General features: G+C 39.6%; 2 protein-coding genes across 30 annotated transcripts in view, besides 1 other annotated feature; one reads left to right on the forward strand and one right to left on the reverse strand.

The window, feature by feature from the left end:
- Positions 1–17,124, forward strand: part of MED12L (mediator complex subunit 12L) — a 350,990-nt gene that overhangs the window by 121,316 nt on the left and 212,550 nt on the right. The window lies entirely within an intron of this gene.
- Positions 4,062–4,356: a silencer, noted in NCBI's record as "tiled region #7583; HepG2 Repressive non-DNase unmatched - State 2:TssF". NCBI's record gives its function as "represses a minimal TATA promoter and a strong SV40 promoter by Sharpr-MPRA in HepG2 cells {active_cell/tissue: HepG2}" and the evidence as "EXISTENCE:reporter gene assay evidence [ECO:0000049][PMID:27701403]".
- P2RY14 (purinergic receptor P2Y14) overlaps positions 5,138–17,124 on the reverse strand; it is a 66,426-nt gene continuing 54,439 nt past the window's right edge. For 4 of the 6 annotated variants that reach the window (NM_014879.4, XM_005247922.4, XM_017007583.3 and 1 more), the window contains 2 exons: positions 12,556–12,663; positions 5,138–7,361 (listed from right to left, as the gene is read on the reverse strand). In NM_014879.4, the coding sequence (NP_055694.3) occupies positions 6,321–7,337 (1,017 nt within the window). In that variant the 5' untranslated portion in view covers positions 7,338–7,361; positions 12,556–12,663 and the 3' untranslated portion in view covers positions 5,138–6,320. The remainder of the gene's footprint in view (positions 7,362–12,555; positions 12,664–17,124) is intronic. The other 2 variants (XM_011513340.4, XM_005247923.4) reach the window with 1 other exon arrangement.

A 17,124-nucleotide genomic window follows, 5' to 3' on the forward strand; every position in this document is an offset into this window, starting at 1 on the left:
TAAAACTTTTTAGTTACTTTCCAGGAGAATGTTCTTTGGAGAACATCTCCCTTTTCCTAGCCATGTGATTTTTTTTTTTTTTTTTAAGACAGGGTCGTCTTACGTTGTCCAGGCTGGAGTGCAGTGGTTATTCAGAGGTCTAATCATAGCTTGCTGCAGTCCCAGACTCCTTGGCTCAAGCAATCCTGTTGCATCAGCCTCCTGAGTAACTAGGACTACAGGGGCACAACACTGCACCCAGCCATGTGAATATTTCTTGATCAAGTATTTATGAAAAATTATAACAGCAAATATTTATCAATTACAGGCTGCCTCCTGAGCTCTTATCCTGGAGAATATTTTATGCTTTGTACAGGAATGAAAAGGAATCTTATCACCTGCTATGTGCTGTTAGAACCTGTGGGAATCCGGGTATTGTAATGCTCCAGACTGTGGTGGGGTGAATAGGAGCTTCTTCAGAATGAGCTACAAGGTGGCATGCTTGGGGGATGACACAGATAATTGGAGTATGAGAAATTTTGGGGGGGACTGTCAGGCAATTTGGGGGCTTGGGTGTCTCTGTGAGGAAAAGATTGAGACCAAATCTTGGATGCTCCCTGGGATTTTAATAAAGTAAGCATTGGAGAGCTCATGGTTATACAAGGCAAGGAGCTGTCAATTGGGCAGTATTAGGTGAATCTACCAACATTGGAGTTTGCTTGGTTAGGAGAGAAAGTGGAAGGTGAGAAGCCAGTTAAGGAAAGATTGCAGTCATTTTAAGTGAGAAGCAATAAGGATCTGAAATTACATGGGAAGGGAGGAATAGCTGAGAACCACTGCAGAAGTAAGATCACTGCAGGGTGGGGTAGAGAGGGAGCAGAGGAGACTGAGGTTTTAGTCCTGGGAAAGGAAGTCTGAGGAGAGAGGCAGCTTGGTCAGATAGAAAGGTGAATTTGCCTTATTGGCTGACAAAGTTTTTATTTGATATAGCTTAGATAGATTTTTATTTTATTCTTTTTCATTTAGGTTTTAAATGTTTCTCAGAGCTTTATCTGTCATTAACCAGAACATTCTGAATGTACTTTGCAAACACTTAAGGAGCTCTTATTTTGAATGGCCTTGATGGAAATGCTGGTTTTCTTATTTAAAATAAGACCATTTTTCTTATTTTTTACCTAACTACTTTCATACTGTTAGCCAGATATGAACTACACTTGGCCATGCCAATTTTTTTATAGTTGCTTGTTTTTCTTAACAAGAAAGTGAATTTGATGTGGAGTTGAAGTTGGCTTTTATAAGGATTATGTTCTCATGCAGTCAATATGATATCAGAGAGAGCTAGTATTCCTTTAGAAAGATAATGGTTGAAAGTACAACATAACTAACAGCTTGAAAAAAGCTGCAAGTTAAATGTAGAGACCCTTTTAGCTTAGAAAATAGAACATTGAGGCCGGGCGCTCACGCCTGTCATCTCAGCACTTTGGGGCCCGAGGTGGATGGATCACCGGAGGTCGGGAGTTCGAGACCAGCCTGGCAAACATGGTAAAACCCCATCTTTACTAAAAATACAAAAATTAGCCAGGCGTGATGGCGGGTACCTGTAATCTCAGCTACTTGGGAGGCTGAGGCAGGAGAATCGAACCCTGGAGGTGGAGGTTGCAGTGAGCTGAGATCACGCCACTGCACTCCAGCCTGGGGGACAAGAGCAAGACTCTATGTCAAAAAAAGAAAACAGAAAAATCAAGAATTTAAGTAATATGTAATATTGTATGGATATGATGAGGGCCATGTTTTCTTGGTGTTCATTTGTGTCAGGAAATGGAATGATAGGAAAGTAAGCCCTTTGCCACACACTTCTGGGGCAGGTTTAGCAGGTCATCAGATGATGGGGGATTTGGGAGAGAAGGGAGAAGTAGTGCAGGTATGGGCTTCCCTTGCCATGCTGATACCATGGGAGTTAAGGCTGGTGACACCTGGAGGCTGATAAAGAACAAATTTACTCCCTTGTCTTAAGTCCTGTGTTGCAGGTCCCCAAAACACATGATACAATATTTAGGAAGTGGAGTGAAGTGGCTAGTGGCTATGACGGTGACCATGAGAGAAGCCATAGAATCATACAATGAACACCTTCAAAAAGTAACAAGTAGTCTTATAAGTTTTATCAGTGAGAATACCTGTCATATATTTTCCTGTTTATTGAGGTGGGCCTATTTTTATAACACCCCTTTCTTACTTACACCCAACTTCTATTGAAGCAGGGGGAGATAGGAATGCAGTAACATCTCATATTTCCTAAAAATCTTGAGATTGCTTTGGGGCGCACTTTCTTGTTTGTTTTTTTGTAGCTGATTCACATGTAATATTTATCACATACGTTTACTGCAGAGAAATTAATACGACATTTAATCATTTTGTACAAGCAGTACTATAAAGTGGTTAAAACATTTTGAAAAGTGACCTGTGGGAAAGAAAAACTACATTTTGTTAAAGTGGTTTTTTTGACGGGCATGTCTTGTCTTGAAACGGTAATCCACATGCCATTAGAGTCTTGTGGAAAATAGTGAACAAAAGGAAGTAATGGCTTTTACTGTTGAAGACCACACACTACCAAACACACAAACCCTCACAGTGCTGCTTACCCGAAAGAAATCCCGTGTCATTTTGGGGGAGTGATCTGTTATATTTGTAATTTGTATAATATTATCTCTTGATGTTACAGATGTTTTTTGTATTTATTGATGCTTTTTCTCCAGAGTTGAAAGATACAGATGGCAGCGATAGGGTTAAGGATAGAGCGCAGAACTAATGACACATACTTGACTAACATCATCAAGCAGAAGTACAGCTTTGTGTGAGGGTGTTTTCTAGAACTTCTGAACTCTTTAGATTACTCTGTTAGATAAAGCCAGTGTATCACGAGTTTCTCATTTGTAGTTGCCAAAAGAAAGAAAGAGAAAAGAAACCAATTAAAATTGGGCTTATTGGCTGTGGGTATGTTTTTAGGTTAGGACTGATGCAGGCACTCAGCTTTGTAACCAGGACTGGGTTTGTACCATGTCTTCAGTGTGCCTTCCATGGTGTCAATTTCAACTCATAGGGTGCTTTAGGCTCTCTTTCCTATGGTAGCCAGATGAAAGAAGTGCTTCTAGATCTTATATCTTCATGGCACACCCTCCAGATAATTTTTTCAGAAGCCTAGAACTTGCTCTTATTAGGTCAAATTGGATCATGTTCCATCCCAACTTGTGGCCAGTGGAATCAGACATGCTGATTGCCTAGAGTCAGTTATGGCTGGCCCCTTATGTGGGGGATGGGGTCAGCTGCATATGATAGCTGCATGGTTGAGAACAGGACAGAATGACTTTCCCAAAGGAAAAGTTTTGCTTCTGTTTCTGGACAAAGAAGACGGAGGCTGAAGATGACCAACGAATGAGCACTAGTGATGACAACATTTCGTAAAAGACCATTGCAGGGTTCATCCACCTCAGTGGGTAGATGTCAGTGTGTGATCTTTTTATATGATTATGATCTTTCTATGATCTGTTTCTTTATTACTCTTATCTCAAATATTCCTTTTATAAAAACACCTTAAAACATTTTGTATAGGTAGTTGAATCACTTATGCATCAAAATGGAATGTAAGGATTTCTGTTAAAGGGAGGTTTTTAGTCGTCATGAGTGACTTTTGAATATCTTTCTGTGAGATTTCTGCATTCCACATGTTACAGAGTAGCCATTAGCATATTCTATCTGCAGGTATATTTTCTTTTCATTGGTGCCCCAGCAATGGAAAAACTTTGTGACTTTTCGTATCTTGAAAAATGAGGAAATAATTGACTAGAGCTGAGAGCCCTTTGGCCTCTCTTGGCAGAGACTCTGAGGCAGAGGCTCTCAGCAGACTGTCATTAGCTTCCCCTGTTTCCTTACAGCTGTGTTTACAGTGCCTTCTGCAGGCACCTGAGTTGTAAGCCTCGGTGGGCACCCTGAACACTGGCGTGCCTGCACTATAGCTTTATCTACAAAAGGACCTGGCAAGTGTTCCCTGTTGCCCACCTACACTAGTGCTAGTGATTTCTGGGAAGTCGCTGGGTTAATTTATTATTGCTGGTGCTCTGCCACTTGGTTTTTAGTTGTTACTCTGGACCTGAAAGTTCTAATAGGTAGTAACTATTACTCAGCTGTTGCTTCACAATATCCTTATCTGCAATCCATGTTGTTTCCTGAAAAATATTACTTTTGCATTGCTATTCTGCTTTAGCACATGCTTACAAAGGCATTTCTTGGTGCTACTCATCTTCTCTTTTTCACTTTCACTTTTTTACCATGGCCCAGTAGGGGGCATTTAAAACCCTAGTATTTACTCATTTGTCCTGGCCAATGTAAGTTGTGAAGAATAAACACTGCCTTTGTTTTTTTTTTTTGTTTCGTTTTTGTTTTTTGTTTTTTTTTTGCAGATGTAGTTAGATAAACAATTATAGCAAGCTTAGTTTACCAAGCACATTTGTGATAGCATAGCAATTTTCGTTTTTTATTTTTTGAGACGGTCTGATTGACCCAGAATTGGGAACTATTAGAACAGTGGAAAGTAGATACTGAGGGAAAAAAAACCTGTCCAGCTTTTCCCCAATTTAGGGTATTTTTTTCTGAGTTTTGCCTAAAATATTGATGAGGTTATAGGACATATGAAGTACTTTTGTTTCTTTTTTTGACATAGGTTCTTGCTCTGTTGCCCAGGCTGGAGTGCAGTAGCACAATCATGGCTCACTGCAACCTCTGCCTCTTGGGCCCAGGTGATCATCCCACCTCAGTCTCCCCAGTAACTGGGACTATCGGCGTATGCCACGACGCCTGGCTAATTATATTTTTTTGTAGAGACAGAGTTTCGCCATGTTGCCCAGGCTGGTCTTGAACTCCTGGACTTCAGTGATCTGCCCACCTTTGCCTTCCAAAGTGTTGGGAGTACAGGTGTGAGCCACCATGCCCTATCTGGAGTACTTCTTCTGAAAAGTCACTGGCAGATAGAATTTTTGAATTCTCTATGTAACTGTCTCCATTGTATTAGCATGCATAATTGAGCATATAAAGAAACTACATATGTCTTGACTGTGAGGAAATCTGGTAATGTTTCCTCATATGTTGATTATTAAGAAAAAATAGACAGTATTAAAACATTTCTTTATTAGTATATAGACAGTAAAGCATGAAATAGATACAAACATTACTTATAAAAATGTTTTGAAAGAACATTTGAAAAATAGATGAATGTCTTCTAGCCAGTTAATAGCAGAGAAAGAATTTAGTTTTGGTAGCTCATAAGTCAGTAACCGTATGCCATGTCTCCAGAAGTAAAATCCGTCTGTTTTCCAGAAAAATGTGATGTGTGAATTTTCATTTTATGTGTTATTTTGCACTCATTAATGTAAATTTTAGATTTAAAAAAATCAAGTTTATTTGCTTTCTAAGAAAATGGTCTCCTTTCCCATTCGCCAGTAGATTAATATATGTTCTACGGTGTGGGTGTGTCTTTTTCCCAGTCATCTTATTTTTCCCATACTATTGAACAGGGGAAGTTGCTGATAACGTATGCCAATATTTAGTTTCTCTCAGTAAAGCCTACTTAAAAATATTCTAACACCAGAACCCCAGGCTCATTAAATGACGTAAGTCTTTGTAGAAAACATATTTAGCATGTATCTAATATCCTCAAAGTGCTATCAGAAAAAAAAAATTTTCTTGCTAAGTATACAATTAATATTCCTCTTCCTTTGCAGTGCCATGAAATACATCAATAAGGGGTTTCTTAAGTGATTGTCTGGGTGTCAGCTTTTCCTGCTTCTTCAAATCAGGAAAAAAACCTGACTTTTTATTGCAAACAGCTCTCTAGCCCTTCATCAAACTGTGCCTGCTTTCAAGTTAGTCTTTAAGGACAGTGTTGAAAACAATTACATACTAGATTCTGGTATTTAGAGAAAGAAGATGCCTGAGTGAGTTGTCTTTGATTATGTTGTGTTTTATTTACTATTTAAATTTCTACATTAACTGACCAGACTAGTGGTTATAAACTTTAACTTATTTTAATATAATAGAATTGAATAATTGTATGTATTAATTTTTTATTAATAGAGAATAGAAAGGTCAGTATTAGAGAAATTACTGATGGGTATGTTTTCTTTGATGTTACAAAAAAGCATGGAAACTTATATTTGAATTTTATTGAACTAAATTGGATGGCAGTGCTAGAGATGATATTTATGATGAGGGCACATATCTTATTGATTTCTGTTATGTAATTGAAGATGACAACATGCACACGTGGTCTTTCTTTGGAAGAGGGTAGGAACTCACAAAGTATCTGTGCTTTCAAGTGTTGTATTTCCTCTTTTGATTCTGGAAATGTCTAGGTCATTCTGAGCTTTTAATGGAATGTGCAATTTCTTACATAAGATTTCCCTAAACGGCTGGCATAGAAAGAAATAAATAATAGGGTCCAAGCATACATTTGCAGCAGATAGTAGCAGAGTGAATTCTTTCATATACCGCAAGATTTCTTTTGACTGGCAGCTGTAATGAGCTTCGGTCTGACTCTTTGTGTAGGGGATTCTGGCAATATGGTAAGGTACAAAACAGACAAAAAACACAAACACGATGCTGAATATGTTGCGGCTAGATTTCTTTTTGACCGAAGTGGAATTCCGACTTGACTTAAGGTGGGACTTAAAGATTTTCTTTGTGATAGCAGTATAGAAAACGATTAACAAAAGAAACACAATCCAGAAGATGGCCACGAAGATGTAGTTTGATGCTTTGTGCCACTTCCGTCCCAGTTCACTTTTCAGTTCTATACATTTTATTTGTGTAACCTCCCTAACACTCTGGTTGGTGAGAATAATATTTGGAACAGCAAGGAGGAGCATGAGCATCCATACTATCACTGACAGAAGTTTGCTGTAACTCACTGACTGGATGAAAGAAGTCCAAAGAGGCTTTACAATTTTATAATATCTGTCAAAGCTGATGAGCCCAAAGAACACAATGCTGACGTACATGTTGACGTAGAAGAGCACGGCAGAGACCCTGCACACAAACACGTTCAGCTGCCAGGGACCAAGGCCTGAGTCACCAAGGATCTTGAAAGGAAAAGTCAGGCTCATCACAAAGTCAGCAATAACAATGTTCTTGAGATAGATGATGAAACTCTTAGAGCTGGGCACGTAAAAGAATATCCATCCTGACACTCCATTGAGTAGGATTCCTGCAATGAAGACCATACAGTACAGCACAGGAATGATCTGCTGAGTGATCAGGAGGTTCTGAGAGCAGGATTCATCTGGAGGCTGTGTGGAGGTTGAATTGATCATCTTGTAACTTCTGAAGGCAGAGGCCTGAAAAGAGGTGTGAACTGGTCACTCATAGGGCACTTATGGCCTCCAAGACATTTGCTGAGTAATAAGGCAAAGGGCAATGAATATAGTCAAACCTACCAAATTTTTGAAGCCACCTTTTTACTCTGTGTAAGTTAGACACTCATCCCTCCCTCCCTCTGTTCTTCCTTTTCTTTCTTTTGGTCTTCCTTTTCTCCTTTCCCTCCCTCTTTCCCCCTTTACCCACCAACCCCCACTCCTTTCTTCCTTCTCCCCTCTCCCCCTCCCTTTTCCCTCCTCTTCCTTCTTCCTTTTTTTTGGGCAATGAAAAGGGAAGAATGGAGCAGACAGGTGGCAGTAAAGAGAAACTGGAGCAGCAGGGCAGTCTCTGAGAACTTCTAGGTAATACGGAGACCAGCATGCCCCTAAAATAATAATGGTTCCCTATAAAACTCCAGAGTTCTAGGAAATACTCATTTAGGTATAATCTTAAAAGGTAGTAACTGTAAAAGCAGAATTAATGTTTTATTTTATTCAGAATCCCATGTGTAATGTATTTTTTTAAAACCTATGTTGGAAATGTGATTGTTTTTTCCTAAAAGAGAAATTTTTATGGATTCATAAAAATCATTATAAATGTTTACATATTAAGAGCTATTCAGACGGACCTTACTTTTAGAAAAGTGTATTCTACATATATGTTGGACATGAAGACAGTGTCTAACAAACATATACATTCAAATGTTAACCGGTATTTTTGGTATGGGATTATGGGTACCTTTTCAATATTGAGCTTTTTTTTTTTCCCATTGAAAAACTGATTTGCATTATTTTAATAAATTAGAATACAAATACAAACAAATGATAAAAAGTACTTTAAGCATTCTGAGAAATGCTTCCCAAAGTACATTCTACATCTGTACTATTCAGTATGGTAGCCACTAGCCATGTGTGGGTATTGAGCACTTGAAATATGGCCAGTCCAGATTGAGATGTTCTGTTAAGTATAAAATGCACACTAGACTTTGCAGACTTGGAATGAAAAAATGTAAAATATCTCAGTATTTTTAATACTGATCACATGTTGAAGTAATATTCTACAAATGCTCTATTAAATAAAATATATTATTACTCTTAAATTTAACTTAATTTTACTTTTTAAGACTCTGGCTACTAGGAAATTTTAAATTACATATGTGTTTCACATTATGGTTTTATTGCACAGTGCTGTGCTAGGTGTTATCCAGAACTTCTATTGTTTAGGAATCCTGTATATTCTTCACTGATGTCGGAAGTGTTGATTTAGGGCAGAGGGAAGACTAGAATTAAATTCAAAAGGTTATTTGATATATCGGAACAGATGTTTACTGCCCATCTTATATGTGAACAGTACCAATTATCCTGCTTAAAACCCTTTAGTAGTCTGTCCTTGCCCTCAGGAGAATGCCCTAAGTCTGTAATGTTGAAGTCCTTTCTTGTTCTGCCTCCTGCTTCCTCCACCCCCAGCACTGAGTTCCTGCTGTCCTGGGCCCATCTGCCTCCTTTTAGGTTCTGTGATTTCTCTCAGCCTGGACCTTTGCACAGACTTTCATTTGTGTGGAAAACTGTTTCCATACCTTCTTGGCTGGCTAACTTCTCTTTATCCTCAAGGCCTCAGCTTAGCTGTCACTTTCCTTAGGAAACCTCAACTTTCCTAGCCTGGTTTGGGGTGGGTTGAGTGTGTGCTTATCATCCTGTGTCTTTCTCCTATCAACACTCCTCTCTCCAGCTGTTTGTCTCTTCCACTACTACAAGCTCCTTCAGAGGAGAAAGATCATGTCATTTTTTTACTCTTGAATTCTTTGCATAATATTTAGGGCATTAGATAGTTAAAATATTTGTGAAATAAATGAATATGCACTCTGGGAATACAAGGCATGAATCCTTGCTCTTAAGATTTATTCAGGGATCAAGGGAAAGAAAGATTGTGGGAACAGTGGGTACCTTGATGTCAGAGAATGCATCTTTTTCATCTGTATTTGTGGTGCCAGCACAGTGCATATCACAGTGAATGACAAGTTAGGTTGATACATTTAAGCATGACAAAGGGATATTTTGAAATATGGAATATGAAATACAGTCACATTCCACATAAAAAATAGTACATCCATGTAAACTTGTGTGCTGCTTCCTACACAAGAATATCTTGTTTCTGCGTATTTTCCTTTCCCATATGCTTTCCTTTTGCTTTATGGCAAAACTAGAAATATTGATAGACTTGATTTTGCCAGTCTATGGACTTCCTATAGAAGGAATGAGTACCCCAAATCACTTCCTCCACAAAACCTTTCACTAGCACTATTCTTCCTCTTCCCTGTAGCCTTGTGTGCTTGGCTCTGGGCATGATGGGTTTGTACTCATTTGCTTCTTTGTAGGTCTTCTATCGCCTTTCTCCTTATGAGCCTGTTTCATATTTTAAAAGATAAGGGAGGGGGAGCACATTTTCCATTTTTAGCTGTCTACTGTGACTAAGAGTCTGTGGCTGGTAACTAATTTGTCTGGTAACTGTCTCTTGACAGTTAGATGCATTTTGGTTTAAATGCCAGTCTTGCAGAGCTTGAGAGAATGCATGCTGCTGTATTCCCAGGTCTAATTTGGTTTCCCAGTCCTAAGCCACACAACCCCCCAGCGCCTGGCCATTGTGGTGTCATACTCATGGTAGGTACTGAGTACTTGTGGGATTCACTTGAGTTTAAAATATAAAAAACTGTAGCTGTTATTTTGGAAAACAGAAATAATAACTGTGTAATATATAGTTATATGGTGAAATATTGAATAATTTCCCAGAAATAATTTAATGAGAGCCAAATTCCTTTCCTTTTAGAAATATTGTAGAAGCCACTATTTATAGAAATAGTGAATCCCAGAAATGATTTAATGAGAGACATAATTCCTTTTCTTATAGAAACCCTTATAAAATTATTTTCTCAGAGTCTTGTGTCTTTTGTATTTTTGAGCTGCAGTATTTCTGCATGTGACCTAATGCTGCAGGTCCAGAACTCTGCTCTCAGATTCCTCAGGTTGCTGGGAATCTGCATGTGTATGCCCTGGTGATATACACCATTCCCCTTCACTGCTCCCACCACTTTGAGTTGGATGGAAGGGACTGACTGACCAAGGTAAACTTCTAGAGCAGCTTTGCCTCCTGAAATGGAGTGAATGCACACAGCTTACCTGCGCCCTTTCCCCAAACACTGCTATTTTGGCAGTTTTGATGCAATTGCAGATGAGCCTCCAGTTTAGGGTGGGAGGTTTTAGACATGCTGGTTGGGTGCCTCTGCTACCCTGTGCCACTGTCTGGTTTGATACAGCAGAGGCTCATGCCAGGACAGATTTCTTCATCTTAAAGGAACACTCTAAAGGAACAAGCTAAAGAGAAATTCCAAGATACTCTTGGTAGTAATTTTTGAACTCTTAAATATTGATTTTTTTTTAAAAGCAGTGGGGTTAATGGTGAGAACATACTGTCTTACGGGTTCAAGTGTCTTAGAGCATGGCAGCCTTTTCTGTAGGGCAGATCAGAGCAGTAATAGACTGAGAGATGTGTGGAAAAGAAGCTCTCTTAAGGCAAGTAAGACCAAATTATATATTGAGACCAAAAGGCAGGAATATGTGTTGGATGAAAATCAGGACAAAATCATTAAAAAAGACATGCATCATTTGGACCTCGTGATATCTACTCAGTCTCCTCTCCTTATCTTTAGTACAGATTGAGATGATTTAATGTCCTCATACAGGGACCTACAGAAACTTCAAATCTTTCACAAATGAAGGAAATCGTTTTATTCTCATGCTGATTTTATACAAAAATGTAAAAATAAATAAGAACCAAAAGAATCAGAAAAGAAGCTTTTAGTGTGCTCAGCAACCCTCCCTTCCCTGCCCACTTCTCAGTTGATTCACTGTTTCTTACCAGCTCATGCCAGTCCATTAAAGAGGAGAGATAGGCAACAGAAAAAAATTAAAAGATGAACAGGACTTCTGGATGATGATTAACTGGATTACTGGATAAGCAGGCAGTCTGGTGAGCCAGTTTGTGTAGGTGTCTGTTTGTGGAGCCCTGCTCATTGATAGTTACTTCTGGTATTATCACTGAATTTCTGCTGTGAAAGTTGTCATTATGTTAACCTTGAGGCTTTAGGAATATAAACAATGCTTCCTAAATTCTAGAGATCACATTTAAGAAAGATTCATATATATAGCTAAACTTTTTAAAAAGGAATACTGTGGCCGGGCACGGTGGCTCAAGCCTGTAATCCCAGCACTTTGGGAGGCCGAGGTGGGTGGATCACGAGGTCAGGAGATTGAGACCAGCCTGGCCAACATGATGAAACCCTGCCTCTACTAAAAATAAAAAAATTAGCCAGGTGTGGTGGCATACACCTGTAATCCTAGTTACTTGGGAGGCTGAGGCAGGAGAATTGCTTGAACCTGGGAGGCGGAGGTTGCAGTGAGCCGAGATCCCACCATTGCACTCCAGCCTGGGTGACAGAGCAAGACTCAGTCTCAAAAAAAAAAAAAAAAAAAAAAAAAAAAAAAGAGGGGGGGTATACTGTAATAGTGTAAGTCTTGAAATTTTCTTCAGTGAAATTTTGCCTTGTTTCACAAATCCAGATATATGAGAATGAAGTGGTCTGAAATGTTTTAGCCTACATTGTCTACTGTCACTTTGGAGACTTTGGTAACATAATTAAAGAACATGGCAGAATGAGATTTATGAGGCCCAAAGACAGTTATTAAAGTGTAGTGGGAGCATTGTGTAGAAAGAATGTCAATGCCAAAGATTCAATCTGATTTAGATAGTGAGTGCACTTGTCCCTTAGTGCAGTGTAATATCTTAGGATTGTGCTGCATGAAGTGTTTTCAAGTTGTCATGTATTACAGATAACCTCAGGGTTCTCTCTTTGGACAGAATTTAATTGATACAAGGCTGTGCAAAGCATTGCTCACTCCAGAAATACGTTCATCTTAATAAAAGCAGGCTTAGTCAGCTCTGAGTTCATTACTCATCTGTGTAATTATATACCATGACCTATTTTCCTCTTGTATTAGAACACCTTCCACCTTCCTAATTGTGAGCTGTAATTCCTTCTGTGAAGAAAAGAATTTTTTCTTCATAGCACTTCGATGAAATTAACAAAGCTCTTGATAATACTTGAGGGATTTAAAAAATTACCTTTTAAGATTTTTTTTGCATAATATGAGGTCTCTTTTCAGTGAAGGTGTTTTGCCCAGTGAGCGTTTGTCGTCTTGAAGTGGCCCAAGTGTTTTTTCATTAAAGATCCTGCATTACACAAAACAAAAAACCAAAGATTTAAGTGAGCACCTGACTTTTTATTGGGAAAATATGTCTGTACTTACTTCTTAAATTCAGCTTGTGTAATTGTGAAATATTTCAACATGTGCATTTGTTGTTTCACTATACTTGCTATTTGTTGTCATTATTGATTATTGATTTGGTTGCAGCCTCTTGTGGGAAACTTAAACTCTGAGAGCTTGGGCATGAAGTGGTTTTGGTTATTGGTTTATATTACCCCCCCCCCCCCCTTGGATATGGATGATCGAATCAATTTATCAAATGACTGAATATAACAATTCATCTTAGCCATGAAATCATAAGTCTAATTGCAGGTGGATTTTTTTAATTGTTTTGTTTTTTAAAAACCTTTGTCTTATTGACCTTTTGGGCCAGATAATTATTTATTTTTGGGAGCTGTCCTATGCATTGTAAGATGTTTAGCAGCAGTTCTGACTTCTGCCTACTAGATGCCAGTAACCCACTACCCAAGTTGCGGTAATCAAAAATGTTTCTAGACTTTGCCAAATGTCCTCTGAGGGACAAAATTGCCCTCATTTGATTACCACCAGTGTAATGAGACTAATGTGTGGACTTTGCAGAGATAACACCTGAAAGCCATGTGGTCTGATAGGAAGAGGATAGGTTTAGCAAAATGGTGGTTGGATTTGGTTCTGCCTTAGTCTAGGTTTTCATATTTCTGAATTCTTTAAACCAGTGAGTGCTCCCTAAACTTTAATGTGCATACACATTACCTGGGATCTTGCTAAAATGAGGACTGAGATTCCATTATGTCTGGAGTTTGGCACGTGATATGGTTTGGCTCTGTGTCCCCACCAAAATCTCATCTTGTAGCTCCCGTAATACCCACATGTTGTGGAAGGGAGCCAGTGGGAGATGATTGAATTATGGGGGTGGGTCTTTCTGTGCTGTTCTTGTGATAGTGAATGGGTCTCATGAGATCTGATGGTTTTAAAAACGAGAGTTGCCCTGCACAAGCTCTCTTCTCTTGTCTGCTGCCATGTGAGACATGCCTGTCACCTTCTGCCATGATTGTGAGGCCTCCCACCATGTGGAACTGTAAGTCCAGTAAACCTCTTTCTTTTGTAAACTGTCCTGTTTCTGGTACATTTTTATCAGCAGTGTGAAAACGGACTAATACAGTAAATTGGTGCCAGTAGAGTGGCACATTGCTGAAAAGGTATCTGAAAATGTGGAAGCAACTTTGGAACTGGGCAACAGGCAGAGATTGGAACAGTTTGGAGGGCTCAGAAGAAGACAGGAAAATGTAGGTAAGTTTGGAACTTCCTAGAGACTTGTTGAATGCCTTTGCCCAAAATGCTGATAGTGATATGGACGATAAAGTCCAGGGTGAGGTGGTCTCAGATGGAAATGAGGAACTTGTTGGGAAATGGAGCAAAAGTGATTCTTGTTATGTTTTAGCAAAGAGACTGGAGGCATTTTGCCCCTACCCTAGAGATTCGTGGAACTTTGAACTTGAGGGAGATGATTTAGGGTATCTAGCTGAAGAAATTTCTAAGCAGCAAAGCATTAAAGAGGTGACTTGGGTGCTGTTAAAAGCATTCAGTTTTATAAGGGAAGCAGAGCTTAAAAGTTCAGAAAATTTGCAGCCTGACAATGCAATAGAAAAGAAAATCCCATCTTCTGACGAGAAGTTCAAGCCGGCTGCAGAAGTTTGCATAAGCAACAAAGAGCTGAATGTTAATCACCAAGAAAATGGGGAAAATGTATCCAGGGCATGTCAAAGGTCTTTACTGCAAGCCCATCACATCGCAGGCCTGGAGGCCTAGAAGGAAAAAGTGGTTTCGTGGGCCCAGCCCAGGGTCTCTGTGCTGTGTGCAGCCTGGGGAATTGGTGCCCTGCATCCCAGCCACTCTAGTGTGGCTGAAAGGGGCCCTTGTAGAGCTCAGGTCATGGCTTCAGAGGGTGCAAGCCTCAAGCCTTGGCAGCTTCCACCTGGTGTGGAGCCTGCGAGTGCACAGAAGTCAAGAATTGGGGTTTGGGAACCTCCGCCTAGATTTCAGAATATGTGTGGAAATGCCTGGATGTCCAGGCAGAAGTTTGCTGCAGGGGCAGGGCTCTCATGGAGAACCTCTGCTAGGGCAGTATAGAAGGGAAATGTGGGATTGGAGCCCCCACACAGAGTGCCTACTGGGGCACCATCTAATGGAGCTGTGAGAGGAGGGCCAACATCCTCCACACTCCAGAATAGTAGATCCCCTGACAGCTTGCACCGCTGGTCTGGAAAAGTTGCAGATACTCAATGCCAGGAGGGAGGCTGTACCCTGCAAAGCCACAGGGGTGGAGCTGCCCAAGACCATGGGAACCCACCTCTTGCATTGCGTGACCTGGGTGTGAGACATGGAGTCAAAGGAGATCGTTTGGGAAGTTTACGATTTGACTGTCCTGCTGGATTTTGGACTTGGATGGGGCCTGTAGCCCCTTTGTTTCAGCCAGTTCCTCCCATTTGGAATGACTGCATTTACCCAATGCCTGTACTGCATTGTATCTAGGAAGTAACTAACTTGCTTTAGATTTTACAGGCTCATAGGCGGAAGGGACTTGCCTTGTCTGGGATGAGACTCTGGACTGTGGACTTCTGAGTTAATGCTGAAATGAATTGAGACTTGGGGGACTGTTGGAAGACATGATTGGTTTTGAAATGTGAAGATATGAGATTTGGGAGCGGTCAGAGGTGGAATGATATGGTTTGGCTCTGTGTCCCCACCCAAATCTCATCTTGTGGCTCCCTTAATTTCCATGTGTTGTGGGAGGGACCTGGTGGTAGATGATTGAATTATGGGAGTAGATCTTTCTGTGCTGTTCTTGTGATAGTGGATGGGTCTCATGAGATCTGATGGTTTTAAAAATGGGAGTTGCCCTGCACAAGCTCTCTTCTCTTGTCTGCCACCATGTGAGATGTGCTCCACCATGATTGTGAAGCCTCCTCAGCCATGTGAAACTATAAGTCCAGTAAACCTCTTTCTTTTGTAAATTGCCCATTCTCAAATATGTCTTTATCAGCAGTGTGAAAATGGACTAATAAAGCATGATATGCTGCTGGTCCATGTACCACTCTTTGAGTTAGCATCATTTTTTTCCCCCAGATCCTGTGCCCAGGAGACATTTAATAAAGGTGATGATGGTAAAATATTTTTGTTGTAGTCGGGACTTTAGACAAGAAAAATTATATTCCAAGTAGGCCTGAAATCTAGGATCTTTGCCCAAGTTTATTCATTACATTTCATCATAATCTTCCCATCTTTATGGTCTCTTGGAAATGTAAATTGGTATTTTATACCTATTTGAGAGGTGGCGATTGTGATCATCTTATATTTACTTAGAATGTTCCTAAAAAGTCATGAGATTCTCTTTGGAAAGAAAGAGGTTAAGTTCTGCATGGAGTAATAATCTCAGTGGCCTAGGGCAGTATGGAACATGTGCTGGTTGTAAATCATATATTCTAACTTTACAACATTGAGGCTTTTATTAAAAAGTCCAAAAAAAAAAAAAAACTAGATGTCAGTGAGATTGCAGAAAAAAGAGAACACTTATGTACTCTTGTGGGATTGTAAATTAGTTCAGTCCCTATTGAAAGCAGTGTAGAGATTTCTCAAAGAACTAAACATAAAATTACCATTTCACCCAGCAATCCCATTACTAGGTATATACTCAAAGAAAAACAAATTGTTTTACCAAAAAGACACCTTCATTCACATGTTTATTGTAGTACTATTCACAATAGCAAAGGCATAGAATCAGCCTAGGTGCCTATCAATGATGGATTGGATGAAGAAAATATGGTACATATACACTGTGGAATACTATGCAGCCATACAAAAGAAATCATGTCCTTTGCAGCAACATGGTTGTAGCTAGAGGCCATTATCCTAAGTGAATTAACACAGAAACAGAAAACCAAATACCACATATTTTCACTTATAAGTGGGAACTAAACATTGGATACACATGGACACAAAGATGGGAACAGTAGACACTGGAGACTCCAAAGACGGGGAGGTAGGAAGCGGGGAAATGGTGGAAAAACTTACTCTTGGGTTTTGTGTTCACTATTTGGGTGATGGGTTCACTAGAAGCCCAAAAGCTCAGTGTCACACAATATACCCAAGTAACAAACTTGCACATGTAACTGTTGAACCTAAAAGAAAAAAAGAAAAGAACATTGCCTACTCCTGGGGAGGGAAGTAGGAGCAAGTCCAGCCTCCTTACACCCAACCAAATACCTCGTGTTTTAACTTACAAGTGGGAGCTTATAAGTGGTAGGGTGGTTGGACTTTGCTGTATCTGTGATATTTTATTTCTTAAATTCTGAATCAAATATGCCTAATATTACTGCCTATTAACACTGGTGACTGGTACATTGGTGTTATCAACATTAGTGTCTGCACTTCTGTTTTTGTATATTTA

Source organism: Homo sapiens, chromosome 3 (assembly GCF_000001405.40).
Source record: "Homo sapiens chromosome 3, GRCh38.p14 Primary Assembly".
NCBI classification, from domain to species: Eukaryota; Metazoa; Chordata; class Mammalia; order Primates; family Hominidae; genus Homo; species Homo sapiens.